The 27,856-nt window shown below is 45.4% G+C and overlaps 1 protein-coding gene and 1 long non-coding RNA gene across 71 annotated transcripts in view, besides 1 other annotated feature; one reads left to right on the top strand and one right to left on the bottom strand.

Annotated features, from left to right (window-relative positions):
* The first annotated feature begins 14 nt into the window (after positions 1-14).
* CELF2-AS1 (CELF2 antisense RNA 1) lies at positions 15-27,856 on the top strand. Its single transcript, NR_126062.1, has 3 exons — positions 15-111; positions 21,022-21,119; positions 25,479-27,856. It is a non-coding gene; the product is annotated as a CELF2 antisense RNA 1 (long non-coding RNA).
* Positions 8,014-27,856, bottom strand: part of CELF2 (CUGBP Elav-like family member 2) — an 874,126-nt gene continuing 854,283 nt past the window's right edge. For 29 of the 70 annotated variants that reach the window (XM_047424494.1, NM_001326320.2, XM_047424490.1 and 26 more), the window contains 4 exon segments: positions 23,303-23,500; positions 18,710-18,853; positions 15,592-15,763; positions 8,014-14,233 (listed from right to left, as the gene is read on the bottom strand). In XM_047424494.1, the coding sequence (XP_047280450.1) occupies positions 15,636-15,763; positions 18,710-18,853; positions 23,303-23,500 (470 nt within the window). In that variant the 3' untranslated portion in view covers positions 8,014-14,233; positions 15,592-15,635. 70 annotated transcript variants of the gene reach the window in all.
* Positions 21,906-21,965: an enhancer, noted in NCBI's record as "active region_3010". NCBI's record gives its function as "activates an Ori minimal core promoter by ATAC-STARR-seq in GM12878 lymphoblastoid cells {active_cell/tissue: GM12878}" and the evidence as "EXISTENCE:reporter gene assay evidence [ECO:0000049][PMID:35858748]".

Raw genomic sequence — 27,856 nt, 5'->3', positions numbered from 1 at the left:
GGTCGAGGGTCAAGGGTGGGGGCTAGGGCCAACCCACTGAGAAGCAGCACAAGGACGCTGCAGTGAAGGGGAAAAGGGAGTCGGCCGCGCGGGATCCCAAGCTAACGCCAGGTAAGCCACGCACCGCCCCCGCCTCACCCCACCACCTCCCGACGACGACGCTTAGGGTCAGGCCTGCGGAAAGCGGGACCAACAGAACCTAATGTCCCAACCCGGGGACACCCAAACAGACGGGATGTGAGTGCAAAGGAGCGGTTGTGAGTGGAGAAACCGTTTCTGTCCTCGCTTGCCCGAGTTCGCGGTGTGGGACGCTGGCGCCGGCCCCATTAGACAGTCACGCGCGCCGGGCTAGCGCAGGGAGGCCGCGACGCGTGCGTGCACTCCGCCAGGGTGTCCCTGGCTCACGGGGGTTGCAGCTGGCATTTGAGGTCAAGGCAACGAACTCATGGCTGTGACCAGCCCTGCCCCGTGTCCTGGGCCTATGCGGGAGCCTCTGTGCCAAGCAGTCTTTCCCATCGACCTGACAGTGGGCTGTGCCCCGGTCGCCACCAGGGCACATCCAGTGGGAGTGGGGTGACCCAGGCTCTCACCACCTGTGCGCCCAGGTGGCCGTCAGGGACCTTGTGGAACGTAACGCTTATGCCGTGCCGGTTAGTGGCCGTTTGGCTTTAGACCGATACTTCACATCTGAACCCGTTTGCTCTCCTGCAAAATGGAAATAATGCCTACTTCACTGGGTCACTGCCGCGTAAATGAAGATGATGCACGAAGAGCCCATCCAGCGCCGTGCCTGGCACATAGCAAAGGCGCCATACGCCAGCGTGGCGGAAGTGATTTGTCGCTGGGCAGCCCTTGACCACATCCTCCCACCTCCCTCTTCCAGGCTCTCCGTGTCTTCTAATTCTGTTTGATTAAAATCACCTTGCCAAGAAGGGCCGTTCAAGTTTCCAGGTGGAACTGTTACTTAACTTTTTCCGGGATCGTTCATTGCGTTTTAGCCTTTTATCTGATGGGGGAATGAAGCCTTTAATTTATCAGTGGAGCTTGTTAGGGAGGAAGTTTTTGGAGAAGAGAGCCCTTCCCGGTTTTGAGGATCATAGCGGATGGCAGGTGCGGCCTGAGGGATCGAGGTGGCACAACACTGGTCTGGGCCCTGCTCCTGGCACAGGGTGATGCTCAAGTGTCTCCAGCAGTTGGCCAGAAGACGCCTGGATGCCGGGAGCTGGCGGGCAAAACACCAGGCAGCAGTGTATTTCAGGGTCACACTAGCAGGTATGTATTCTTGGCCAGGGCAATGAGCTTCAAAGTGGAATGTCAGTAGGAAGAGAACAGGGCTTTCACACAGGGCCGGACGTGACTGATGTGCTGTGGGTGTGGTTTTCAGCTGCAAGAGAGGGAAAGCAGCTAATTAGGTGAGCTAATACTACCTGGAGATTCTGCTGACCCAGGTGGAGATGGAAAGAATCACAGCTCGGGGTAGGAAATTTTGTTGTGGTTTTGTTGCAGCCATCCTGACATAGGACAACAAGAAAAAAGAATGTTTTTTTATTTTCATGTAATGTGTACAGTGGACTTTGCTGACCAGAATGCATCCCTGAACTTTATCCTTATCCCTGAGTGAAGCCCAAGGATGCAATTAGGCTGAGGATGTGATTAAGAACATGAGGGGCGTTAGAGATAGGGTGAGAGCATTTGAGCATCATTGCTGGTAAGAAAATGTTGAAAACACACTAGCCTATAAATTTAGCTATGTCACTATATTCCCATGTCAAGTGGCCATGTCACAATATAGTTTCATGGATGTAGACAGAGCTTGGCAATTTTCTGGCCCGTGTAGAAGAGAGAGAACGGACTAAACCATCTCCTTTGGATAGACATCCCAGGCATCCGTCAGCAAGCAGGGAAGAGGAGGAAGGTCTCTGGGGGGCAAAATGGGCTCCTGAATGGGACGTTAACTCCCGATGTTAACGTCCTGGCTCATCCAGAGTACCCCTGTGGAGTCCTTTCTGGGAGGGGAGAAATAACATGCCATCAACCTGGATCTTATTGTAGATGATGCTCAGTACAGGCCCTTCCCCCACTCTGACAGTCTTGCAGAGTGGGGCCAGCATTCCTATAACTGCTTCCCACCCAGTTACTGATGCTGCCCACATCTGTAGCTGGCCCTACCTGGGAGCAAGACCAGGATGGATTTGAACCTGACATGAGCCCAAGTTGTCACCCATCACTTCCCAGGACATGCTGCTGCTACTACTGTGTCCATCTCAAGGACCTTTGCTACAGCCTTGGTCTTCTCCATTCCCCACTCCGAATTCTGCCCCATCCCCCAGTTTTTTTTTTTTTTTTTTGGTCATTTCTATGCTTTCTCTAAATGTCACACCCAATATTTTGCTGTGTTTGAAATACCTCTCAACCCTTTTTCCCCTTCTCTGGTCTGATTGCCTCTTCTGTGCTTACCTGAACTGGTTCAATTTCCTTGAAACATGTCTCCTTGCCCCTAGTCTTTTCCTCTTCTACTCAGTTCACTACCCACTCTGATCCTTCCTTGGTTGACTGGTTGTTTTTGACGTTGGTGATCCTTATTTCCTGTAGACTGAAATCCCAAGGTCCCTAATTTGGAACCTGGGGCCCGTAACAACCTAATGTCAGCCACGTTTCCAGTGAAGTGCATTGTCCCATCTTCCGGCTCCTGTCCACTCTAGTCAAATCGGGCTGTTCGCTGTCCGCAGCCACACTGCACACCTACTCTGTATTTGCTGCAGTTGTCCTCTACTTTTCTGCTTGGTGAAATCCTGCTTATGTTTTGGGATTTCTGTCAATTTGGCTGTAGATTGTTTCCTGAAACCTTCCTCACCGTTAGAAATGCAGTTCCTTCCCTTTGGGTTCCAAAGTCCCCACATACTCCTTGGTCATGACTTAACATGTTGAGTCATAATTACATACGCTTTCTCCTACCAGTCTGTAATCTTACGGAGAGATGATGTCTCCAGAATTCTATAGGACTTCCAATTCTCTACCAGTGTTTCCCAACCCTTGCCTTAGGACACTAGTTCTGCTGGCTGTTCATGAACACCTCTCTAGAGCTTATTGTGTTATAAATGCTGTTAGGAATAGTTCCCATATAGGTAGGTGCTGCTGTTGGTGTCCTGTGTTTCACAGATGATGAAATTGAGGAACTTGCTCAAGGTTCAAGCTAGTAAGTGGCAGAGCCACGGTCAACCCAGGCAACCTTATTCCAAAGTCCATGTGCTTCCCCACTGCATTGAATCACCCCTCCGGTTAATAGGTATCATAGGATGACAGTTTCAAGAATGAAAGCACAGCTTGCACTGGGCTGAACAAGGTGAACTAGGTAGGTCTTTGCTGCAGGGTGCAGAGCTGTCCCAGAGCTTTTCTAAGTGACTGCACATGGGCAGCTTCCAGGAGGATTGGGTTAACAGCACTCCTCACACCTTCTTGGCTGCCGAACTTATTTTTCCCATAGATTATCTTGCAGGGTAATGTCTGTAGAATAGAATTTGGAAAACATTACTTCAGATCAATGTTTCCAAATTCATACCACACCGTAAGTTTGTGAATTATTCAAATTTTAACCTGGATGGTTGTAATTATAGAGGTGTGTGACATATATTTATAATCACATTCTTGAATGACAGATCACCAATATTTCCTTGTTTGTTTGCTCTGGCCAACCTGAGGGGCTGCTTGCCTGGCCCTCTCGTCACCGGGTGGGGGAGTTGAGTTGGGAATCTCCCCTTCTCTGACACCTGCTCTGCAGAGCGTCATGTGCCAGGGAAGGCAGGCAAGTGGGTACCAACATTTTATTGCAACTGGGCAGAAATTGAGGCTGCGAACAGGGATGTGCTGACACTGTAGGAGAGGCTGAAAGGGGCACCTCTGGGGAGATGCAGTCAGTGGGGGATAGAAAGCGGGCAGAGCTGGGCTGGCGGGGCATGGGGTCCTGGAGCTCCAGGTGGGTGGTGACTGCAGCATCAGCTCAGCAGGGCATTCTTCTCTTGCCAGAGCCCCCGCCTCTCAGGCCCACAGAGGCCCTGTCCTCCCTTACATCCCCCCTACCCACCTACCCAGCCTAATTGTGTTCCTTGAGGGGAAGGCACCCAGCATTTATTTCAGTTCATAGTTTTTAAAGATGTGAAGCTGTTGGTTGGATCCCATTTTGTAGATGGGGAAGAAAGTGTCATAGTTGGGTGGTTGGGAAACATGACCCTGGAGCACTTGGGCCACTTTGGTCAGCTCTGGCCTCGGTAAAGACGTTGTTGTGTACAAGCTTTAGGGAGCTTCTTGCCCTGTCTCCCACTGTCTTTCATCCTCCCCCAGGACAGCCGTTGAAGCTCCAGCGGGGCGATGCTGAGTCTGAGCAACAGTGAGCTCAGCTAAGGTAGAGTGTCCCATAGAAGTGTCTCCGAGCAAGTAATCTGTGTGGGCGCCCTGGGATGCAGTGTCTGCTGTGCGGGGAGAGAGGTTTGCCTGGACCATCCACTTGATTACCTGTTTTCCCTTATTTGGCAGAGAAGCTAATTATGGCCAAACTCTCAGAGGGAGGGGTATGACGTGTTAACTGTCTGCACCCACGGCCTAACCAGAATGCCTGCCATAGGGTAGCTCTTTAACGTGTGTTTTGAACAAATGAATGATTAGCGGCGAACGTCCTCGCTCTGTGGTAGCTATTGTTTTGTTGGGACACAGAACTAGGATCCAAGCCCATGTCCTGCGTGCCTGCCGCCAAATGGCATCCCTGCAGTAGCAGGGACCTTGTGCCTGTCCGAGTCTGTTTGAATGGCTCGGTTGTGCTGTGCAGGGTGGGGGGCTGGCGTCGGCCCCATCCTGCCCTGGGCACTAACTTGCCAGGCCCAACAGGAGCTGCCGTGGGAGATGGGGGAAAGGGAGCGGATCCGCTTCTCAGGAATGCCTGAGTCAGGCGCCTGTCTCCACAGTTTCTGTTCATGTGCGCTTAGTTCTATGTCCGTTCTGATCTCAGATGTTAAACTTCTGTCGAGATAGAAAATGTTCCTGAGCGGGTGCAGAAAGAGATGACGGGACATCTGAGGTGGCTTGACCTCATAGCGGGCAAGTCTTCCATTTGGGACCCCTTAGCTGAGAAGCTTTGGGGCCACCAGGCAGAGCCTGCATAGGGGGCTCACCGCAGTGGTTCTCCCTCATTCCCACCCATGCCCTAGGCCCCCACTCTGTGGCTCCTGACTTTGGCCAGGGGGTCTCCAGTTTCCACCCCGCTGAGCGCATCCACAATTGAATAAAGAAGCCTTGTCCCCAGCCCCAGCATGCTCACTGCTGCTTCCCAGAGTCTCCTCGACCAGCCAGCATGTTTGAACCCTGACTAGATGGCAGGCACTGTGCGAGGCACGGGGGGTTCATTGATGGACGAGACACAGTCACTTCCTTCAGAGAGCTCATGGTCTAGCTGAGGAGACAGACACATGTGACATGGAAACAGCACACCATAAATAGCGAATGTTCTGCAGCATTGCAAAGAATGCGGGAAGATAGAAGTGGGTGGAGAGAGGAGGGAAGGGGAGAATGACTCCGAAGACTTTAACCATTTGCCACAGGGCTTAGGTAACAGAGAGTCTCTCTTAATAGTCACCCTCTGCTTAAGCTATGACTTTTAATCTTTGTGCTTTTAGTAGCAAAATCATTTTTCCAAACTTCTGCATGGATCACCAATAAAGACAACAAAAGCAGAGTGCCTGTGGTGAATTGGGAGCAGGGTGAGGATGGGGGTGGGGGTCGGGTGCTCTCTGCCTGGCTGCATCCGTGTGCCTGCCCTTGTTTCAGAAGTCCGGCCTCTGCTCTCCCTGAGGTGGTCATATACCCATTCAGGTTGCTGTTGAGCACCGCTTTGCCTTGGAAGGGCCTGGAACCTACAGGCTTGTTACAGACAGATCTACAGGTGACCTTGTCATTCCTGCCTTGGGTCCAAACTGGACAGCTAGGCTTTTCTTTTGGGGAAGAGATGCCTAAATACAATACAGGTAGGAAGGGGTGGATCTGAGTGAGGAATCGTTGCCTTTTCCTAGCGTGGGATGAGTTGGTGGCTTCCTGGAGCTGTGTGGTGTGTGAGCCTGTGAGGGGAGATGCCGCTAGAGTGGACAGTGTCTCTGAAGGGGAAAGGCCTGTTCTGGGACTTGTCAGTGCAGAGAGCTCTGCTGGAAGAGCTGTACTTTCTGGTCAGACCTTGCCTACAGTTCCCCAGGGAACCCAGGGAGCTAAGTGGACACCTGCTGGGAGAAGGTGAGAGGCCAGGCCAGCAGAGGCCAGTTCAGCTGCCCTGTCTTTAGGTGTGGCTGCTGCGATTCACCTGCGGCCCGGCCTAGTGCTCACAGCGCCGTGGACCCTGAGCACATCATTTTATGTGTATTGGCTTAATTGATCCTCATGACAACCCCACATATTAGGTATTATTTTTACCCTCCTTGTGCTAATGAGGAAATTCAGGCACAGAGGTTCCCTGGGTAATCAGTGGTAGGGTTGGCATTCACATCGAGGCAGTCTGGCTTCCCAGAGAATGCACCTGAGAACTTTCTATACATGGCCCAGCAGCTTCATGAGAGAAGGATCCTCCAGTGTCTCACAACTGGGGATTTTTATGTGCGGCTTCAGCTATAAGTGACCAGTTGGAGAACAGTGTGTGTGTGTAGTTTGTATTAAAACACCCTCCTGATGCAGGCACGTGGAAGCTGGTGCCAGGGTGCTTTGCTGACCAGTAGAGACAGGTTACAAGACATGGAGTATTCCTCAGAAAGCAGCTCCTGCCCGGCAGGTGACTTCCAGCTGCCTTGACCTGTTACTCTGTGCTGGTCTCCCAGCATGCAGCCCCTGGTTAGGGAGACATGGGGGACTCTGGAATCAGGGCTGCACACCAACAGGGGAAGACGTTGGTCTTATTCCTCCTTCCCCGACTAACTCAGCGCCCTCCTACCCATGACGCCCTCGGCTGTGTGCTCTTTACGGAAGGGGTGTGTTCTAGCTGTGTGCCTGACTGGCAAGGGAGGACTGTGAAGGGCGCCCCACACGCAGGCAGCTCTTCAGCGCCTGCGCCCAGGTCTCCTGGACCATGGGTCTCCCAGTGTTAAGCGCTCCCCACGCGGCTGCACGGCACCAGCAGGTATGCCCTCTCCAGGCCCTTGGCTTTGGCTGCCTTTTCCTGCTTCTTGGCTCTTTCTCTGCTCCCTCACTTTCATTAGAAGCTTCTTTTTTTGTGAGAAGTTTATGAGTAGGAGGTTTGTGGTGGGAGAAAGCAGAGAATGGAAGAATAATTCTGGATTATCTGTGGGTTTTCATTAGCTGCTCTTTCTGTCCCTCATTACCAGGAATGAATAAGATTTGCTTCATAAAGGATCAGGATGCTTGTGCCATTTTGCAAGTAGAAGTTAAGGAGTTTTTCTCAGAATCCAGCATTAAGCTAGAAAAACAAATCCAACATAAAACCCTGAAGCAAAAAAGGAATCCAACAGAAAATGCCATTCTGTTCAAACTTACGGCCTGTAGGAAAAATTTCAAAAATATTCCTTCAAAGGGCCAAGCAGCAGGCCTCCCGTTTAAGCGCTGCAACTGTTATAGGATGTCTCTCTCTCACACACCGCTTTGAAACATTACCCTTCTCATCCTGCATGATCAAATGCCTTCTCTTGCTGACTCTCATTCTGCCTTCCTGAATAGGGCGGCTATTGTTCTCCAGCAGGGCATGCTTTCAGTGTCACATCATTCTGGCAAAGTATTGACACAAACCAGCATTATTCCTGGATCTGCCTTTCTCTTTGGTCCCCTTTCTTCTGGGCCTAAAGAGATCACATCCAGAAAGACAGTTGGGTTTTCTAGGTTGGGGCAGACTCTGGGTGCTTCCTAGTGGGCTTTTTGGCCATGAAGGGACTGCTCTGTTCCGCCACCCACAGTGTGCGGATAGAGACTGGCCGTGGTCACGAGGCAGGCGATGGATTTCCAGAGGTCTCTTGGCTAAAATGCACTCCGGAGAACTTTTGTTTCCAAAGTCAATTTATTGAATATTAAGTCATAAAGCCAGTGATATAATTTTAATGAAAAATATCCTGTATCACTCAAGACTTAAAAGAACAAAAATACCCCTTAGAAACACTGCTTTGAAAAATAATCACATTAACTTTACACACAACAGAGTCCTTTCTTAAGCTTTATTTAAGAAATCGAGTACTATATAGTTCAATATATATAAGACACATCCAGTATTGTGTTCCTGATAGCAAGTGCATAGATTTTGTTAAGATATCATTTTCACTCAATAGAAACGTTTCATGGTCACATGAAGATAATATTCCCAGTGATTTGCCCAAGCATGAGAGGAGAAAACAGAACACAGCAAAAATAGTGAACTACAACAGAGATGAAAAACAACAACAGCAAATTAGCAGAACAGTCGATTCCTGATAAGTGAATAAGCTGATTGTTTGGTCACAATGTTTTATTCACTTATCAGGAACGATTCACAGTACATTAATGTTCACTGTGTGTCCTAGCCTGCCAGCTAAGAGTCCGAGCCCATCGGCTGCGTGCGACTGCTGTGGGCTGGGCAGCGTGTGTGGCTTCCATCAGCAAGGCGGATGTTGATGGTGCTGCGGTATCCCAAGGTGGTCCATGCATGGCACACGGATTCACCTTGCTCACACTGCAGTGGTGTCATACCGACTCAAAACTATGGGTATGAATTTAAGCAGGGACCAACTTTACAGTCAGTAAGTGCTTAAAGGAACTAGCATTTTCATCCCCTTCTTTGGAGAATTATTTGTTGCTTTAGAAAAGCAACAAAAACTGGCTTTGTCTTTCTCTTCCTTTGCTTAGCATGAGTATTTTGTCTTGTGCCAAAATGGTGGAACTATGTACTTATAGATTTGAAAAATAAACACTTGCACCTTGGAAATGATAATTTAATCACCCCCCATGCCTCCCAACATCCCCCTCCCACCTCCCTAATAAAAAGAAATCACACCCTTAGCCATCCTTTCCCACTAACGTAGGCAGTGTGTTTTCAGAGGAGACTGCCGAAGGCTATGAGGAGACTGAAAGCAGAAGTGATGGTAGGAAGTGAGCTCCATCCGTGCAGGCTGGAGCTGGTGGCATCACCATCACTGAGGCGGCCAGCCCCGGGGAGGGAGCCTCCCTTCCTCCACCTCGCCAGGCCCCTCTGTTCTTGAGCAGACTAGAAAATACAATCTCGGGCCAGAGGGGCTGCTGCAACGAGAGGGTGAAGAGCCTGAGCACCTACTGGGAGAGATTTCACTGGCACGCAGAGGAAGGCTGCCAGGTGCTGGGTGGCCTGAGTCAGAGCTTGTGCGTCTGAAAATACTGGAAGGAGAGATAAGACAGAGGGAGCAAACATCGACGGAATCTTGTAAGAGCACTTTAAGAGCAATCAGATTCCTGAGCAGAGGCAGAACAGGGCCTGCGGCTTCAGTCTTTGAGGGCAGAGAAGGAACAGTTTTTGATAACTGGCCTTGGGGTGACAGTGGGGACGAGACTTAGGTTCATCCAGGAGGGAGTGTGTGGATGCGTATGGCGTTATTAGCTTTTGTTTGGAAAAGGACAGTAAACTATGAAGACGACTTGAGTGTGAGAAACTTTACCTCCCCCTGCCTCCACCGGACTGAGTACAGCTTCCATTTGAGCCCTTGGAAATACTTCTTTTCTCTTCCGTTAGTGTTAATAATTAAAGCTGCTCCTGGATTCAATTAGCTTGTAGAAATAAATAATTTAAATGACTTTTCTATACATATCTTTTGATTGAGGGCAACAAATAATAGACTTAAGTTTAACCCTTTTCACTGGCTAAGTTGATTTTTCTTCCCTGGAGAACTCACTTCTTTTAGAAAGTGATTAGTGTCTAAGAAGAGTTGGACTGTAATGATGCGGGTTTGGCCTCGTGGGTGTGGAGAGGAAACCCCGCAGCAGTTTGGAATGTATGTTAAGAACTGCGTGGATAGACTCATGAGGGAGGGGAGAGAAGGGGAAATTAACCTGTGTGGTCAAAAGACCGTAAAACACCTTGGCAAATCCAACCCCAAAGGCAGTTACTGAGGTGAACTGTAGGAAAAAAGTGTATAAATCTTGGAAGCAGGAGTTCAAGTGGGCGGTTGTACATAAATCAAAGGTGGCTGCTGTGCAGTTTCCTCTTCCCCAAATCAGATATTCACTTAAGTGGAATCGACTGTATCTTTTTACACAACATAGAGAAAAAAACAGATACGTGAAACAGTGAGGTGTGCAGATGTATCACCAACATATAATGACTACCAACAATACAACACGCAGAGAGAGAAACAAGTATTAGGAAAATGGTTTAATATTGGAGACAGAAGCAAAAAACTGCATCACACAATAACATACATTACAAAAATAAGTTTGACTGTTTCAACTACACGGTTATGTTCACAATGAGGACAGAAGAATCAGAAAAAACTTTGATCTAAACAGCAAAAAAGCAAACCCTAAAGTTTTAACTAATACATTTATCCACTTAAAGTGACTGAGTACTTCTAAATCTAATTACCTTATTGTGTAACTGCACAATACAGAATAAAAAGTGAAACTTACCGCTGTTATTTTAAGACAAAATTCTAATGCTAGATATAAGCAAAGGGAAAAAAGAAATCAAGCCAAAGTTTTTAATTCTCAAAAGAAAAGCAACTTTCTTTCTATCAATCAATCAATCAATCAACCCGAAATCAAACTTGAAATCAGTCATTGTCAGGGGCCCACCAGAGCAAGCCACAAAAATTTCCATTTTTTTTTTAATCTCCAGTATAAAAAGTTCCACTGGTACAAAATGCATAAGTACAATCAGTTGTAGAAATAGGAAAGCCTGCGTATTTTTTTTTTGGCTCAAATTCCATCAAACAACAAAATCCAAATGCATCAATAAAACAAACAATACTCAAATGGTCTTACAGTTTCCACTAGGTTGCATTAACTTTGGCTTTTCTCAGACAATATTTAAAAACTATTTTGTAATTCTAAACAAAATGATTATTAATCTACAAACATCAATTCTCACAGCACAAAAAAACAAATACATTTTTTGTATGACATTATTCAAAAAGGTAATGAAACTACAGGTTTTTTTAAAATTTTATTTTTTTTTTAATTAGCACTTAAGATAATAAAAACAAACAGTAAAATGATTCCAGAGTAGCACAAGCCAACTATAACCCCTATGGTGAAAGAAAGATGAACTCGTTACGCCTTTGAGGACTGCCATTGTATCACAATTCTCTAATTTAGATTAAAAATGACTATTCTCTACAATTGATTAAAAAAAGCGGTTTCCCTGTGTGTGTTTTCTTCTGGCACAGGCCCTTTGCACCCTTGCAGCTTTTTCCTTTTGATATTTATTAAAAGATAAAAGTGGATAGAAGGACAGTTTGTCTCTGTGGAAGGTTATTTTTTGGAGAAGGGCAAAAAGGACTTTCCCCCTCATGTCCTCTCTTGGTGACTTGTGAAGAAGAAACACTCGATTCAGAGGGCGCGTCCTGAGCCTCCTGTCCCCTACCCTCAGTGTTTCCTCTGGGGGAGATGCATGCAGGTGGGTTGAGGTTGAGAGGGAGATGGGGAGGGGAGTCGGCTTCAGTAAATTGTTTTTCGTTGAGATTTAGGTAATTGATAAGAAGTTTCAGAATGAAATGGTCTTAGAAATTCAAGTGGTGGGCTCTTGTGTTTCCACGTACGTGGTACGTGTCGAGACACACCGTGTTCTCAGAGAGAGACAGGTGCAATAAGTGTTGTTATTAAGCTGATTGCTGCAGAAAGTACAAAATAGCCCTCAGAGGATGAAGGAAGGCCCCAGCAGTAGTAAACACATGTGAGGATAATACAAATCATGTCATTGTAAGGAAGTGCATGTGCTATAAGAAGGAAACGTTTGTGTTGCTTTTTGTTTTTTTGCATCAGTAGAGGCTAGTCCTTTCCATCCCAGGGCTATCCCATCCACACACACTGATCCTAACAGGGTGCTGAGCGGGGAAGGGGAGCTGAGGCCAAGAAGCTTCCAGGGCATGCCGAAGAGGAAGACTGGAGCTTGTGTTGGGGCTGTAGGCGTGACATTAGGATTTGTCAAGACAGCAAGGTACCTGTTCGTAGAAAGTCATATGGCACTTTAAAAAGTGGCAGCAGGAACTGGTGCTAGGTATTTGGTCAGTAAATTGTGATAAAGAACTGAGCTTTACTTAGATGAAATGTGTTCAATTAAAAAAACCAAAAAGGCTGGGAAAGGGCTATGGGCTTCTAACTCCAGACACCTGGTATATTCAGAGGTACCTACTGGGATCAGAGATGCCCCAGCATAATGGCTGATTAGAAATATTATTTAGGAGTATTTAGGAAACAGAAACAAAACCCCTCAAGAGACTGTCCTGCCACAAAGTCGTTTTACTGCAAGGTATATGAAAATATTCTAGACTAGGACATAGCACTAAACGTGATCTCAAAAGCATACAGGATTGTTAGGTGCTGAATCTACCTCCGTTTTCCCTCAGGGTTTATCCAATTACTCGTTAAAACTGAAGAAGGAATTCTAGTAGCACATTAGGAATTCTTTTCCCAAAAATGAGAAATAATCAAAAGTAGTAAAAGTAGTGTAGGATTTTTTCCCTTTAGATTGGCCTCGTGGAATTGTTTTCTGTTTTCTTTTGGATCTTAACCAAAGAACAAAGTAGTCAAACCGAAACAACTTAGAGGATAGATGCAGGGAAAAAAATCCAAATTGGAAACACCCCAAAACAAACTCAAATCATGACAGTATAAAAAGTCATCAACATTCCAGATAGCTCTGGGTAGAAAGGGTTAAAAGTTCAAAACTTTCTCACCTTAGAGGTTTCCATAGATTATGAAGAAAATACATGGTGAGGTTGCCTTCACAGCACTGATGTGCGGAGTGGTTAAAAAAGTGGGACATGGGCACTTATACAATGTCTTACAAAAAACATCAGAGAGAAATAACAAACAATAACAATTTCAGGCAACAAGACCACAGGATAGCAAGTTAACAAACTTTGTAACCTTTTTTTGTTTTGTTTTTTTTTTTAAATATTAGGGATTTATACAAAACACATAATAAAATACCCATGTTATCAAATTACTTCTCACAAGAAACACACTGAAGCTCTAGGAAGGAAGTACCTTTGGAATTTGGCACTATATATTTTCACTTTTTTTCTTTAAAAGAAAAAAACATCACATTTTGCTGAACACAAACACATCTAAATAGTCCACAATTAAAAAAAATGACATCAATGCTTCACAAGCCAACACAAAACTTATTCTGGAATAGGTTTTTTTTTTTTCCCTCACATGAAATTTTTTTTAAGCAAACAACTTTTTTTTTTGAAATTCTTTTTTTTTTTTTTGTATTAAGTAAACCAATTCTAAACTTGTCTTATCAACAAAGAACATTAAGACTCATGATGAAACCACAACTTAATTCACAGAAGCACCAACATAACACAGTTTACAGTAACCTTTCTCCTGTACATTGAAACAGTATAAAATATAGGTAATTTCATGTGCATTAAACCATGGATTGTCTAACTGTGAGTTCAGCAAAAGGTGACACAAATAGGTAGCATTTGCCCCAAAACAGGGTAAATATTTTTCTTATACTAATCTACAAAAAGTGGTTCTATATATATATCTTAATGAGAAAGTGAGCCACCTAAAATGGCCTTATCAAAAAACTTTACACTGCCTGAAAAATGTAAAAACTATTACAGACCTCTAGAGACTTAAAATCAGACAGTTTTTTTCTCAAACTGTTTTTGGAAGTAGTCTGTTAGAAACCAACATTCTGTGTCCCTGGACACATATTGCTATTGTTACCAGTGACCGGGAAGAATGCCAATCCCTGTATAATACTTTCAAGTCTGTTTTAGGAAAAGAAAAAAAATAAGAAAGAAACGTTTTTGCCACAGGTTTTTTCTATAATGAATTTGTCTAATAATAAATTTCAGTCTTGCATGAATGCAGCAATGTTTTTCACATTGACTTCCCAGAATTCATAGCTAGATGAGGTCACATGCAAATTTCAAAGGTCAAACTAGATCAAAGGTCAGTAGGAGAACCAAATATGATGTGAGGTCAGAAAGACATCAGAAACAATGACGGGACGATGAAACTTTTTTTTGAGACGCCACAGGGACATGCTAGGCAAACGATGAACTAACGGGCATGAAGATGTCTAGGGAAAAAACAAGGAAGAGTAAAAAGTTACACAGAATCTATGCAGCGGCAACAAAATCACTTTTAAGGGTGCAGGAGAAAAACTAATGCAAATCTTAGGTCATTAGGGAGTCTCCGAGCCATTCACATAATTTGCATTTCTTACACTCCTTATCCACAGCACAATGAAACCCCAAGAGAATCCATCTGGAGAGAGCGAAACGGGATGGATTCCGGGTGTTTTGGGGTGAGGGACAGGGGGAGAAGGTCCAGTTTCAACAAATGTGACATACGGGGAAAGTCAGACGACTGAACTGTAAACTAGATAATGGAAGTTACAAACAAAATAATCAGACAGATACAAACAACGAGAGGATAAAGCATGAACTTCAGGTCTAGGGTTCAACGGTGAAAAAAAGCCCATTCCTAGAACAATTCCTCTAGAGACTACTTCAGAAGGTTCTAGCTAGACAGAGAACTGCTCTTTAGGTACCCAATAAGTTAACAATAGGCAATAAATAACTTCCATTATTTCTGAGGCAGTAAAAATTTTGTATAAAAATAGAAATGCTTTTTTACAAATAAAATTTACAGGCCTGTGGCTTTCTTTTTTATTTATGTATTTATGTATTTATTTATTATTATTAAATTTATCTTTCAAGAAACATCAAGTATTTTCACTCATTTTTATTTTTTAAACCCTGTAGCTTTAAGAAACAGATCTCTAAATCTTTTTGTACATTAATCCTTTCTAAAAACTAAAATAAAACAATAACAAAATAGACAACCAGTGTAATATTTTGACCAATAAATGTCATGTTTCTTTGAACCCTAAAATAAAATCCTACTTAGTAAAACAAGCCGATGTAGTGGAAAGACGTGTGGTTGGAGTAAGTGCTTCTCCTGGCTTCTCCCTCTCCTAGGCCACCAAGTTAACCTCTAAGCACCGGGCCCTCCCTCCGGGGGCGGGCGCCGGGCAAGGAGGGGTGAATTCTCCAGGCAGTGCTCTCGGGGCACCAGTGGTTTCAGAGTTAGAATTGCACATTAGCGTTTGTTTGTTTGCCTTTTAAATTCTCAAGATGCCATTTATTTGTGTATATGCTTCTCTTTAAAAAAAAGCAAAAATGAAAAAAATTAAAAAAAAAGGTAAAAGGAGATTCAAATCGCAAAACAAAGGAGAATACAGTGGCACAACTGGAGGAGGAATTACTCAATAGAAACAAAGTAGCCCAAGTTTTAATTATGGCAAACTGGGTAGGGGAAGTGGGTGGGGACATGGAGGCCTTATTGTAAAAATAACCGTCTCTCTTGGTAAAAGTTGGCAATGTGGTCCTCCTCTGCCTTCCCTGTTGAGACAGGCTGGCTCGTGGGACTTACCCTAAGAAAGCTAAAATGAGAGCAGGGAGCCTCTGGGGTTAGGATCAGTAAGGTTTGCTGTCGTTTTTGGAACGCTTCAGCTGCACCTTCAAGCGTTTCATGCCGATCTGAAAGCCATTCATAGCTTGGATAGCAGCTTGTGCAGAGACTGGATTGTCGTAGCTAACAAAACCTGGAAAATACCGAGAGAGGGAGTCAGCCTGGAGAGGAAGCCCAGCAGAAAACAGAAAAGGGGGCTGGAGCTCTGGGGAAGGCTGAAGAGCCAGCATGAGGTGCCAGCCCCACGGGCCCAGCACAGCTCTGCGGAACTGATCGTGAGTCCACCGTGAGTGGATGATGGGGCGTGCCCACTGAGCAGCTGTGGAGCAGCTGGCTGGACTGGAAATGTGGCATCATGGAGCACACACCCCTCCCCACAACACTGAAACCTCAGACTCAATTGTTTGGCTGAATTCAGTTCCACTTACTGAACTCGCTCAAATCATTGTGTTTCAAGTCCTTTAGTATCTCTCCAAAAGAACCCCAGGTCCATACATGCTACTCATACAAGCAGTGGTGTAAATATTTCAGGGCTGTGGGGGCCCCTAGGGGCTCACGTGTCCCAGCCAGGTGAGGCCAACAGGCAGGCTCGGGAAGGGAAGGGCTGGAGAACAGCAGATACTGCCAAGCCCCAGCCTGTCACTCGAGCTCTCCATCGTCTGTCACACAGAGCCTACACCTGTTTAGCTGGAGGATGGGTCAATTAGCGAATAAACTCTAGAATAACTCACTCATACTTGATTTTTACCCATTTGGAGTTAATACCAAGGAGACTAGGGAAGTGCTGGGCCTTTCTCCTTATCTCACTTTCCATTTCCAAAGCTCCAGTAAATTCAGCAGAAAGGAAATTGCTCCCTGGCATCTCCCAAAGTCTGGGGGATACATAGTCAACGGCTTAGAACTTAATCATCTGAAGAGAATTCCCCATCTCTTACTCTGTAGCAACGACCTCCACCATAAACAGCAGGGAAGGCAAGCTTTTGAAAAAGAACTGCAAAGACCCAGTGACAAGAGGATCTTGGTCCCAGAGTCTGTTCCAGCACTGGGGGAGGCAGCAGCAGAGGTATAGCAAGGCTGTAAAGGGTGCTGATCCGAGTGGTGACAGGAAGCTATGGTCCTGATTTACATTTAGGTCTAAACGTCAGCTGTTCGGAAGGTTCTATACTAAGCACCTCTATCCATCTGCTATTAAAGCTAAAGAGAAAATTCCTTTACAAACTAGAGGAGGAAGAAGAGGACATGACTTTTCTGCCCAGTTCTCGGCTGATAAAAATGGGCATGCGGCATAACGCTGGGCAGCTTTTCAGAGGTAGGCTGGATTGCAAAGAAGTGGCTGTTTACATTTTTATTAAGTCTCATTCCCAATAAATGTGATCTGGGATCCAAGATTTTTGCTCTGACTTTCCTTTCCCTCTGGGTCTTTATCAAGGAACAGCAAGATAGTTACAGAATGGAAATGGACAAAGGTGAGATGGATAACAAAACCTGGCTAAGAACTAGGAAGGAACGGGGCACTACCTTATGACTGGCAGCCCTAAGAAATGCGGCTGGCTCACCAAGCAAACTGGGTGCTATAGCGTTCCACAAAAATGGAAACCAGTCCATCATGCTCAAGAATTGTCTGCTGACACTAACAGCTATGGTTTACATCAGTATGAGCACATGGTTAAGGAGGCTGTAGGCTGATAAACAATCTGTTTTCAAGGAAGTATTTTCTCAAATCAAATCATGAAGCAGAATTCCCTTCCAAATCTAGAATATTGTTTAGCTACGAAAAACACAAAAGTCAGCCTCAAAGCCTTGTAAATCATGTAGGGAAGCCTCCCTAAAGTAGGCTCCTGCTCAGACACACCCCCCCGCCCCCCATAATGATTTAATTTGCATATCCCTCTCTACTGAACTGTCACACGGGTTTATACAGTTGCCACAGCAGCCGCCGAATGGGTCCCGACTGACAGCCTTGCTGCTAGGGTAACGTGGTGACTGTAAGTGGCTGACATGCGGAGTCCTTTAACCATGCCTTCAGACCTTCCTGGGTGATAGCACAAATTAGACCTTAGGATTAGAGTTTTAGAAGCCAAAACATTCTCTTTGGCCTGATTACTCATTACCAGCCAGAGTTAAGTTTGAGAACCACCCTCCCTTTGCTACTTTCCTTTACAGCACAGAATTCTGTGTGTTTCCTCCAGCCCTTACCTAACTACCTGGGTTTTATGCTGTTACTATTTCCCACCAGCATGAATTATTAAATTGCAGGAGTGATTAAAGCAAATACTCTAACTCAAACTGGGCCCTGAGCTTGCCAAGTAATATATACTCTGAACATCCTGGCCTGTAAACTGCTTTGGGGGCCAATAGGGTTTGAAAAATGAAACAAGGAATATATTTAATGAATGCTATTGTCCTGGTGTAAAACATCAGTCCATTCTGTGAGCATCCCTTCCTCCCTAAGGGAGCGAAAAACACCCACAAGAGGCAGAGTCCAGGCTGCTTGAGGAAAGGGGGCATGGCAGCTGAGTCTCTGATAACAGCTGCACGCCCCTGGACTCCGCATTCATTCCCACTCCCCGATGGTGGCCCTTCAGATCTCATCATGCAGCGTGCTATGTAACCGTGAGATCTGTCAACTGCTCATCCCGGGCACGTGGAGCTGCGATCACGCAAGCAGCCTGAACACATGGATGTGTTGGTGCTGATGAATGGGTGTCTGTCTGTGAAAGTGTCTTTGTGTGCGTGTATGTCAAGGCCAATAAGCCCCCAATATGGTGTTGCCCACAACCACGGTGTCTGAATTGTACTAAACCTGGAGGGCTAAGGAATTAGTGGGGAAGATGAGCTAAATTGTGGTTAGATTCCTTAATAGTGTAGTATAGAAGATTACCTAATGTATGGGCGTTGACTTTAATTTCCCAGAGCCTTCCTTTCTTTGCCCAAATCTGCTTACAAGGATCCAGAAAATCAGAGCCCAACACAATGTGGGGAAGGCCCTATCCTGGCTGAAACTGTCTCACATTTTCCTTCCCACGACTCTTCACTTGGGAACCTACTGCAATATACTAGCTTAGTTTCTTTTGCATACCAAAGCACTTGCTCAGATTGGTCTGTTTGTCAATGAAGACTTTAGCAGAGATAACATTTCCAAAAGGCATGAACATCTGCAGAATGTCCTGGTCTCCAAATTCCTGTGGAAGGTGGTAAATAAAGAGGTTTGCCCCCTCTGGACCTAAGGAGGAAAAAAAAAGTCAGAGTAAGGTATCCCTTGAGTCTTAGTTTCCAAAGTCCCTTCTTAGGAATACTTTAACAACAGGTAGGCTAAGCATTTAGTTGAACAAACAAACAGATGGATAAATGTCAAGTGCTGGAGTGCCTTTCAGGAAAGCAATCATCCTTCAGATTTTCCTGATTTCCAAAGATGCTGGTTACGAATGGCTTCCTTTCCACTGACAGTCTTCTGTGAGTCACAGGTGCCACTGCCCCTTGGCATATGCATTTCAGTCACCTTTTCATGGGGCTGAAGGTGACAGTGGGCAGAATGGGGACAGATAATCTTGGCATGGGTTTTTCTTGGGTGGCCGTATTTTCTCAGGTACGGACAGGCTGTGAGAAGGAAAAAAGGGTGCTCTGTGCATTCTAAAAAATTGTAACAATTGACAATAATGGATGTAGCAGTAATGCTGCTCCGATTTCTCTATCATTTGCCTAGTTTTCCAGCCAGTTTTGATTTGCCAAATCTCTTAACACACAGTCTAATAATCATCTTTATTAGAAATGACTGGCAGTGAGTCAAGGCAAGGAAAGAAGGTAGCCTGAGTCTCATGACTTTGAGAGGAATGACTCTCCTGGGCGTTAGCCTTGGAGATGAATGCAGTGGATGTAGAAGCTGGGCAAAGACCGAGGAAGCCAAGCTCTGCCCGTCCACCTATCCTTTCCCAGTAAACACAGGCAGCAAGGGCAGGATGGAGATCTTGGCCCTGCTGGCTGGAGAGGTGCGTGCTCCTAAGCTGCCCTCGCTTTTCCTCTCCTGACTCTCCCCCACCCATATGAGCACCATGTGAAAGTTAAAAGCGGCACAAAAGGGCATAAATATGAGCTGAGGGAGATGAGGGCTGGCTGTTTCTTGGGCGTTCCAGGCATGGAGTCTTCCGAGGAGGGGCGCTCACAGAACTGGTGAGGCGACTTCTGCAGCGGGTCAGGAATCCTCAACTGGCCTTCACAGGAGAGGAACAGGCCTGCCTGCCCAACTAGGCAACCCCAGGGGATAGCTGCACTGGGGTCCCTAGATGTGGGAAGGGTGTCTGTGTGGCATGAAGAAAAGTAAAATGGGGATAAAAAGAACTTTGTAAAAATGTCAAACCAAGCTTCTTCCCCTGCCTCCACAAAATACATCACAAGAAAGTATCCTAATGATTGGGACTTTTCACAAAGAAAACTTCTTGAGGCAAACTATGGAAGCCACAGAGTGAACTCTTCCTTTCTCATTTAAAAGTGTGTCTTAATGACTACTGTAACTTTCCATATTGCTGCCAATTTCCTGGGATATATCCGTATTCTAGGGCATGGGAAGGAGTCTATTTTAAAGGGACACAATTGCAGGGGGGCCTTTGGTCCCCAGATGTTTTCTGGTTTTAAGGGAATCAAAATTTAACATGAAAAGATGCAAAACCTGAAACACTGGAAAGGGATGTTCTGAGCACTGCTGTGTGTGCACATCCTGGGTGGTATGTCTGATGGTCAGATTTGGTGCTACCAGCTTTCATGTTGCTACTGCACAAAAGATCCAAATGCACAAATGAGAGTTATTGGGCCCCAGTTTGAACTGTGAAGTACATCTCACCTCCTGAAGCCGGGGAGAAAATACAGTTTCAATGCACATGACAGATGACTGGGTATGCCTGAGTAATCCTAGCTTTCTAGAATGTTGCTCATGCTGAATTTGTCTATGCCCAACAGAGACCAAGGAAACAGAGAGACCAGTAAACGCACACAAGTAGGTTTTGTCCTTTTGCTCCTGATATTCCCAAGAAAAAAATGTCAGCACCATCTCTTGACATAGATCCCCCAATTTTTCCATCACCAAGAAACAGTTTGGTTTTGTATATCCCCCGAGTTTTTAATATTAAAATGAAAAAAAAAAAAAGATTTCATATGGAAAACCTCCCTTGTATGCAACTAAGGTGGCTGAGATGAAGAGGAAAAAACAAAATACCTTTTTTAAAAATGGGATTCTACCTGTGTGTCATCTCTCTTCCTCTAGAAATGGGAAACACCTGTTCACAAGTCACCCTTTCATCAGATTTCTCCCAGTGCACGTTACTGTCACTTGTTAGATTCTCTGTTACACTCACTACTGGTCCTGGCTGTTGGGGTGTTCATGTTTTATCTCTCTCACAGGGCACTTGATCTGGCATAAAGAACTGGGGACGTTTGTAGGAACAAAGCTGTAAGAGTCCACCAGCGTCCCCATTCCTCATGGGACTCGCCTCCTGCAGGTAATGGACAGAGGCGGGCCATCAGAGGCTCACTTCCTGTCTGGGGAAAAAACACACCAGGTCTCGCAACCTCGGACTGAACTGTGGAGTAGAAAATCTGGAATTCATTATTATTATTATTATTATTATTATTATTATTATTATTTTTGCTCTGCCTGGCATCATTTGCTTTTAAAATTATGTTTTACTTAAACTAATAAGAAGATGGTTTAAATTTCTTGAGCACATATTAACTGGGTGAGAAAGGGATCAGAAGAGAGTTATGACAAGGTGGGAGATGATTCCAAAGAAAAACTGAACAAATCAAAAACCCAAAAGCATGCTACTGAAAACCCGCACTCTTAAATCAGGAGTGGGCAATGGTTATTTTGGGCAATTTTATCTTAATCTCAGAAGGGGAATTACTGCACTAAGCAGTAACCCCTAAAACTCCAGGCGAGTAAGTTGAGGGCAGTGGGCTCAGATGAAACCTCAGAAACATGTTGTTTCGAAACATGTTGTTTCAGGGCCCAGACTTCATCCCTAAACTGCTCTAGAGTTTACTGGAAGGCCCTGCTCTGTAGTGGAGAGGTGACCACCATGTGGGGAACTGGCCTTCTGGCCTCTGTGTGATGATATCATTGTCCTACAGGGCCCTGCTCTCTGCCCTCATTTGTCACCATGGTACTCAGACCACAGAGAAAAGGAACACACACAGGCCTTTCTTTGGGAAGACAAGTGATGTTTATGATGTAGGGTCTCTTTCACAAGCCTGGGGAACCAGTTGTCTGAACACCTGTGCATGTTTCAAAAGCCTACCATAATAGTCAAAGAGAAAGTTGAAATAATGAAAAGTAACTTAGACTTTCATATATTTTTCATTTTAAAAGTGATATCCATGTTATTTATACAAAGAAAAAACCTTTTCCTTCCTTTAAAAAAAAAAAAAAAACCATGAGTATCTTTTAAGCTGTGTTCTCTTAAAACCCACTTCAGACAAAGCAGTTTGGAGCTATGGGGTGAGGGTAAAAGAGAAGGGAAAGAAACTTCAAAAAATCTCCCTTAGTGCTTCTCTATTCTAGCTTTTTATCCCATATTTAAACAAGTCAGAAAAAAATATCATTCAGCAGATTTTGCTCTAAAGGAGCTTCAAGTAAGGAAGAATGACCAGTGATCCTTATTTGGTCTTACTCATGAACCATTTCATAATTAGCTTTCATTTATTCTTAGCATTAACTTCCTGGAGTTTATTTTGCTTTACTGGCAGAGAAGCAAGGCAATCGATCACTTACTTGCTTTCCCTGAAGACCCCCAATTAAACAAAGACCAAGGCAATCCTAACCATGGATTTCATCATTCACCTGAAAACCATCACCTACTGAGAGCCGGCCACACACTCATAGGATGTGTGGACTCCAAAACCCTGGCAAACACAGGACAGAGAGCGTTTCACCCACAGAAGCCTGTGGCCATCCATCCCCTTCCCCCAACAAGTAGTTTCTGTGTAAGGGGAAAAGGTGATGGTCTGTGCTGACTTGGGAGAGGGAGGTCCCTGGGAATTATTTACAGTCAGCAGCTATGAAGTAGTTTATGGGAAATTAATAGTTTATAGAACTTAATTATGGCAGGGGGTGAGCAGTGAGAGGATATTTGGGGATTGCAAGAAAGGTGATCAACTTTCCTGGACTTAGATCTGCAGAGATGCCATAACCCTTCAGAAGATGTAGCTGGGGGAAATAATTAAAACCATTTATTTATCAACAAAGCCAGAGTGGTATATAAATATACAATGGACAAGAACTTCATCTGAAGAGATCGATGAAAAATTAAATTAGAAGGTAACTATAAGACCAAGTGAGAAAGACTGAAATAAATAGGTTTTTGCTTTTGTTTGAGAGAGAGGGGTATGTCTGTGTTCCCCGAATGGAGTGCAGTGGCTAGTCACAGGCATGACCATGGCTCACTGCAGCCTCAGCTCCTGGGCTCAAGCGATCCTCCCATCTCAACCTGCCAAGTAACTGCGACTACAGGTGTATGCCACCATGCCCAGCTTTCAGTTTTTTTTTTTTTTAAACATGAATAACAAAACAACTGCTTTCTGTTATGACATGGGTTCAGTTCAATTTGATACCTTCTAACCGTGCTCTAGAGGCCAGTGCTGCCTGTTGGGCTGGGCCCTGCCTGGGGCCAAGGGCGGCACCTACCTTCCTTCTGGCTGCCTGCAGCGCTCTGCTGCTGCAGCAGGCTCTGGCTGTACAGAGTGGGCAGCGCGGCGGCTGCGTACTGTTGAATTCCTGAGTAGGCCTGGGTGAGGGCGTCCATGGTGCCAGCCGTGCCATTCGTCAAGCCTGTGGCGCCAAGTCCTCCATTCAGAGCCGCCATACCTGAGAGCATTTGAGCAACTTTACAAAAAACCCAACAATAGAGAAGAGAAACAGCACTTATTCATTAGTGCTTTCCAAAGGAAGTTAGAGAATCATTTAAACACAGTACAACAGCAAGTACATGCAGCTAGCACACAATTACACTGACAGGAAACTAAAAATGAAACCATGAAGAAATAAATCGTGATAATGGGGGAAAATGACCTAAGCCATGAGAACCCTCACTCCCTAGGCCAGTGATTCAAATGCACTGTGGCACGAGTTAGACGAGACAGCTCAATGCCATGCAGCGTGCTACTGGCAAGTACCGTTGTTATCTTTTGGAAGTAAAAGCCTTTTGCTTCTGGGAGCTTAGGAGCATGTAAAAAAAAAAAAAAAAACCTTAGTAGCAGAGGCCTGTAACATCTGTACACTGAAATCCATTTACTGGGCTCTTTGAGGAACTATGGGATAGCTTGCAGGGCTGAGGAGGAAAGGATGAAATAAAACTTTTTTCCCTTAGGCCGTGTGATGAGGAAATGGTGGAGAGGACAAGTTCTGTACTCTCGGAACCAGTGGACCTGCAGTTTGAGGAGTTACAGTGTGGGAAAACGGACTTTCTAAACAGCTGAATGATGATGTCAGGGACTAGGACCTTAGGAATAAATAGCCTGGCTGATGAAGAATTGAGGCACAGAAGCCATGTGGACCCTTCCCACAGTCGCAGAGAGCTGAAGCTACTCGTTCGGTATCAAAGTGGTGCAGTTTTCAGCAGCAAATAGTTATTCTGTGCGTGCACGCATGCACACATGCCCAAGTGGCAACTGGGGTTTCGGCCACTGAAAGAGCTCCAGGTCATGTTTTTCAGTCAGCCGGAGACAGAGGTGTGTCTATGGGCTGGACCTTGGCTATCACCTGATGGGAACGGGATGGTGGCCAGTAGACTCGATTTCTCCCCTTGTATCCTGACTGCTCTTTGGCTCTACTGGGGTGGCTGACTGTCACATTTTCCCTGAATACGGAGTCAAAGCAAGCAACACTTTATAGAGTGCTAACTTTCATATCAACTCAGGAAACGGAAGAGGTGACATCACAATTGCCTCTGGGTCCCTTTATGATCACAGTTCTTTAAGAAAAGATGTTTCTGAGAAGAGCTTATTGAAAACATTAATGAAAATCTCAATGAAAGTAGGGCTATTGATTGGAGATATGAAAACAGCAAGGATGGCTAACTGAAAAAATAGGTAAGAAGTCTAATGAGAATGGAGGACAGCTAAGGTAAGGCTGCCTGGAAACACCAGAGAATCCGGCAGCAGAGTGACCTCCACACGCCCAGCAACGCTACTGCCCTAACAGAGCAGGTGGGGAATGTTCTGTTTACTCCACTTGTGCTTCTATTTGGCCAACTTCGCCTCTTCAATTAAAAGGACACATGTAAGATATGAATTAGGCTATAGCTTAACAGTGGAGGACTGTCATTGTGCCTCACCTCGGGTATTCCTGTGCTTCTCAGAACAGACACCAAGCAGGGGTGGCGAGACGAGTGTGAATGGCGTGAGAATGGAGTGGCAGCCTCCTGAGTGCAGGCTCAGTTCAGAGGTGTTGCCAGCTGAGGCCCTGCTGTGTCTGCTTTTGTTTCTCATTATGAAGGGGTCTATCTATTAATGAAAATCATTGAGATTTTCATTAATGTTTTCTTTGGGTCATGCAAGTAAGTGCTGTCCAAAGAGCTTGGATGCAGACTGTCCTAATTACCCTAAATGATCCCTCGGACACCAGCAAATCGCGGCCACCTCCCTGCCGCTGTGCTTCCCCTCTGTCCCTGTTACTATGGCCACCAGAGGGCTGGAGAGTCATTTCTCTATTCCTCCAGTGATCTTACTTCATCCTCACCTCCCACTATTTGTGTGATGCAAAGGAACTTCCGTGTTTTTTGAGATAGGTGAGAGGGGTATGTACAATAACTCGGGAAGGGCTGGACGCTGCTGATAAATTCTGTTGGTCTCACTTTGGCCAGGCTGTTAACGGGTGCTGTGGATTACAGATGATCGCACTCTGGGCACAGTCCTCTGGAAATGCAGATGCCCGTGTGGAGGAAATTCTGGCGGGAGAGGAGCGGCGACTCGCCGCTCTGCTTGGATCTCAAGGCATGAGGTTCTGGGTGTGCCTCGCAGCCTGCAGAGCCATGTGGGGCCTTGCTGCCAGACGAGGACGGGCTGAAGACAGCAGCTCGTCTCCAGTGGACGCCTCCAAGTTCCCATGGAGGGGTGGGCAGCATCGCACCACCATGATGCCTTGTCTGCTGCGGGTGGGAGTTTTCAGGCCCTGTCATGTGAGACCCACGGGGGATCCTTCCTGCGATGTGCAGCCTCCACGACTCGGCTTCTCCAGAGTGCCAGATACACAGGTGGCATTTTATGGCAGTGGTCACTGGGACCCAACTCCCTTCTCTGTACACAGCTGTTTTTTTAATTTCCAGGTCAGAAAAATTATCTTCCTACTTTGAACTCTTTCTCCTTTTTGCCAAAAATGTTTCTCTCTTACAATGCAGAAGCAGAACACAGCTCCTGCTCTTGAAATACTGGATGGATGTTTCAGAGGGTATTGTGAGGCTTGGAGCTCCAGCCAGTGACATTCCAGCCACATCCTTCTCTCCTGGCTCCACTTCACAGAGGCTGGCTGTGTCTCTGGACTACACCTCAGAGCTAATCTGCTTTCTGGAAGGGTCGTGTTTACTTCTGCTGGTGCTGTGCATGTAGGAGACAGCTGTGGCCAGCCCTGTTTCCCTGGGGAGGTGGCAGAGGCGGTACCATGAGCAAGGGATGCAGATGCTCAAGGGGGACCAGTCAGGGGACACGGGGAGGGTTTGGCCTCTCCAGCCAGGGGCTCGCCACCTCCATGGTATAAACATCCATGTGAACAAAAAAGTTCTAACAAGTACCAGCACACTGAGAATATTTTAAACCACAACTATCGTGGAAAATCTGGGAGGGTGGTTCCTAGGTCCAGGGTGGAAAAGTAGCTGAAAACCTGGTAGGGTTTGAAGAACAATCAGAGGCGGCCTTCCACTTCTGAGAACAGTTCCTGTGAGTCACCTGATGTTGTTCTAGATTAATTCTATCAAAGACAGTGTTGGTCAACCCAGCTGCAGGCACTTGATTTCCTCTAAAAGCTCTGGATAACAGAAGCAGAGCTGTGAAGAAAGTCAAGTTGAATAAAATGCTTCCACTTAAAAGAATAGGGCTTTTCCTTGAAATGGTCCACTGGATCGACCATTTCCTCTCATTTATTATTATTATCATCTCCATTCCCATGCATGCTATTTAGACAAGGAAGGCTGGAAGCAAGTGACAGGTGCGGCAGTGCGCAGCAAGGCCTCTGCACCTGGCCCGTCAGTAGGGCCGGCACGCAGCCTGACTACTGAGTTTCTTCTGCCTCATTCCTCTCCAGAGGCCCTCAACTTACAATAGAGACCCAGGAGCTGGGAGATGACTGAATCTGTTAACATGACACAGAAGGACTAACCCATAAACATGAGCGTGAATGTCTTTTGTTGGGGGACTAAGGAGATGACACTGAAAAGGAGAATCACAAGCCAAGTGCCATAAGCAGACCACATTCCCTGCAAGCTGCCCTGCTAGGCTTTATCCCAAATCAAAGAAAAAGGGAGAATGTCTTAATATTCTCACAGATTTGTAACCACTTCACTGGGGTAAGTTTTCCTTTGTATAGATGACGGATTATCCTTCTAAGCTGCAAGCTGATAAATGAGAAGCTAAGTATAAAATATCTAGAACTAAGGTAGATGAAGATGTCTATATGTGCACTGGGTGTCACTTATATATCTGCCTGTGTTATTAAGGGCACAAAGGTTGTGTGGGGCTGTGTAAACTATAGATATTAGGAATACAGATTAAAACAGTAATTTCACAATGCAAGTAGTGCCAAGCCACGAAAATATGCCTGGAGCATCTTCTCTTTTCTCTACTTCACAGAAAATATTTCCATAGACACTTTTCACCAGGCATCTGCAGCTGTTTTTTTTTTTTTAAACAATCATAATTTTAAGCACTATATGGTAAGCCATTTGGAAGCCATTCGAATTATGCATTAAAACAAGGAAAAATAAGATGCCACTTGACATACACTGAAACACATAAAATCAGATACAGACTCTTGGGTGGAAAAAGTATGTTCTTCAACTTAGTTCAGATGTTAACATATAAAACATGCTCAGGGAACCCTGAAAAAATCCAGAGGTGAACACTCTGATGGTCAATCACATGTGTTCCTTCTTCTGATCTGGATGATTCTTACATTTTTAGGGCGCTGTACTGTTTTTTAGCCCTTTGACTCATTAATGTATCAGGGAATAAAAAGGATATCAAACTCAAA

The sequence above is a fragment of the Homo sapiens genome, chromosome 10 (genome assembly GCF_000001405.40).
Source record: "Homo sapiens chromosome 10, GRCh38.p14 Primary Assembly".
Taxonomy (NCBI): Eukaryota; Metazoa; Chordata; class Mammalia; order Primates; family Hominidae; genus Homo; species Homo sapiens.
This window is presented reverse-complemented; position numbering and strand designations above follow the sequence as displayed.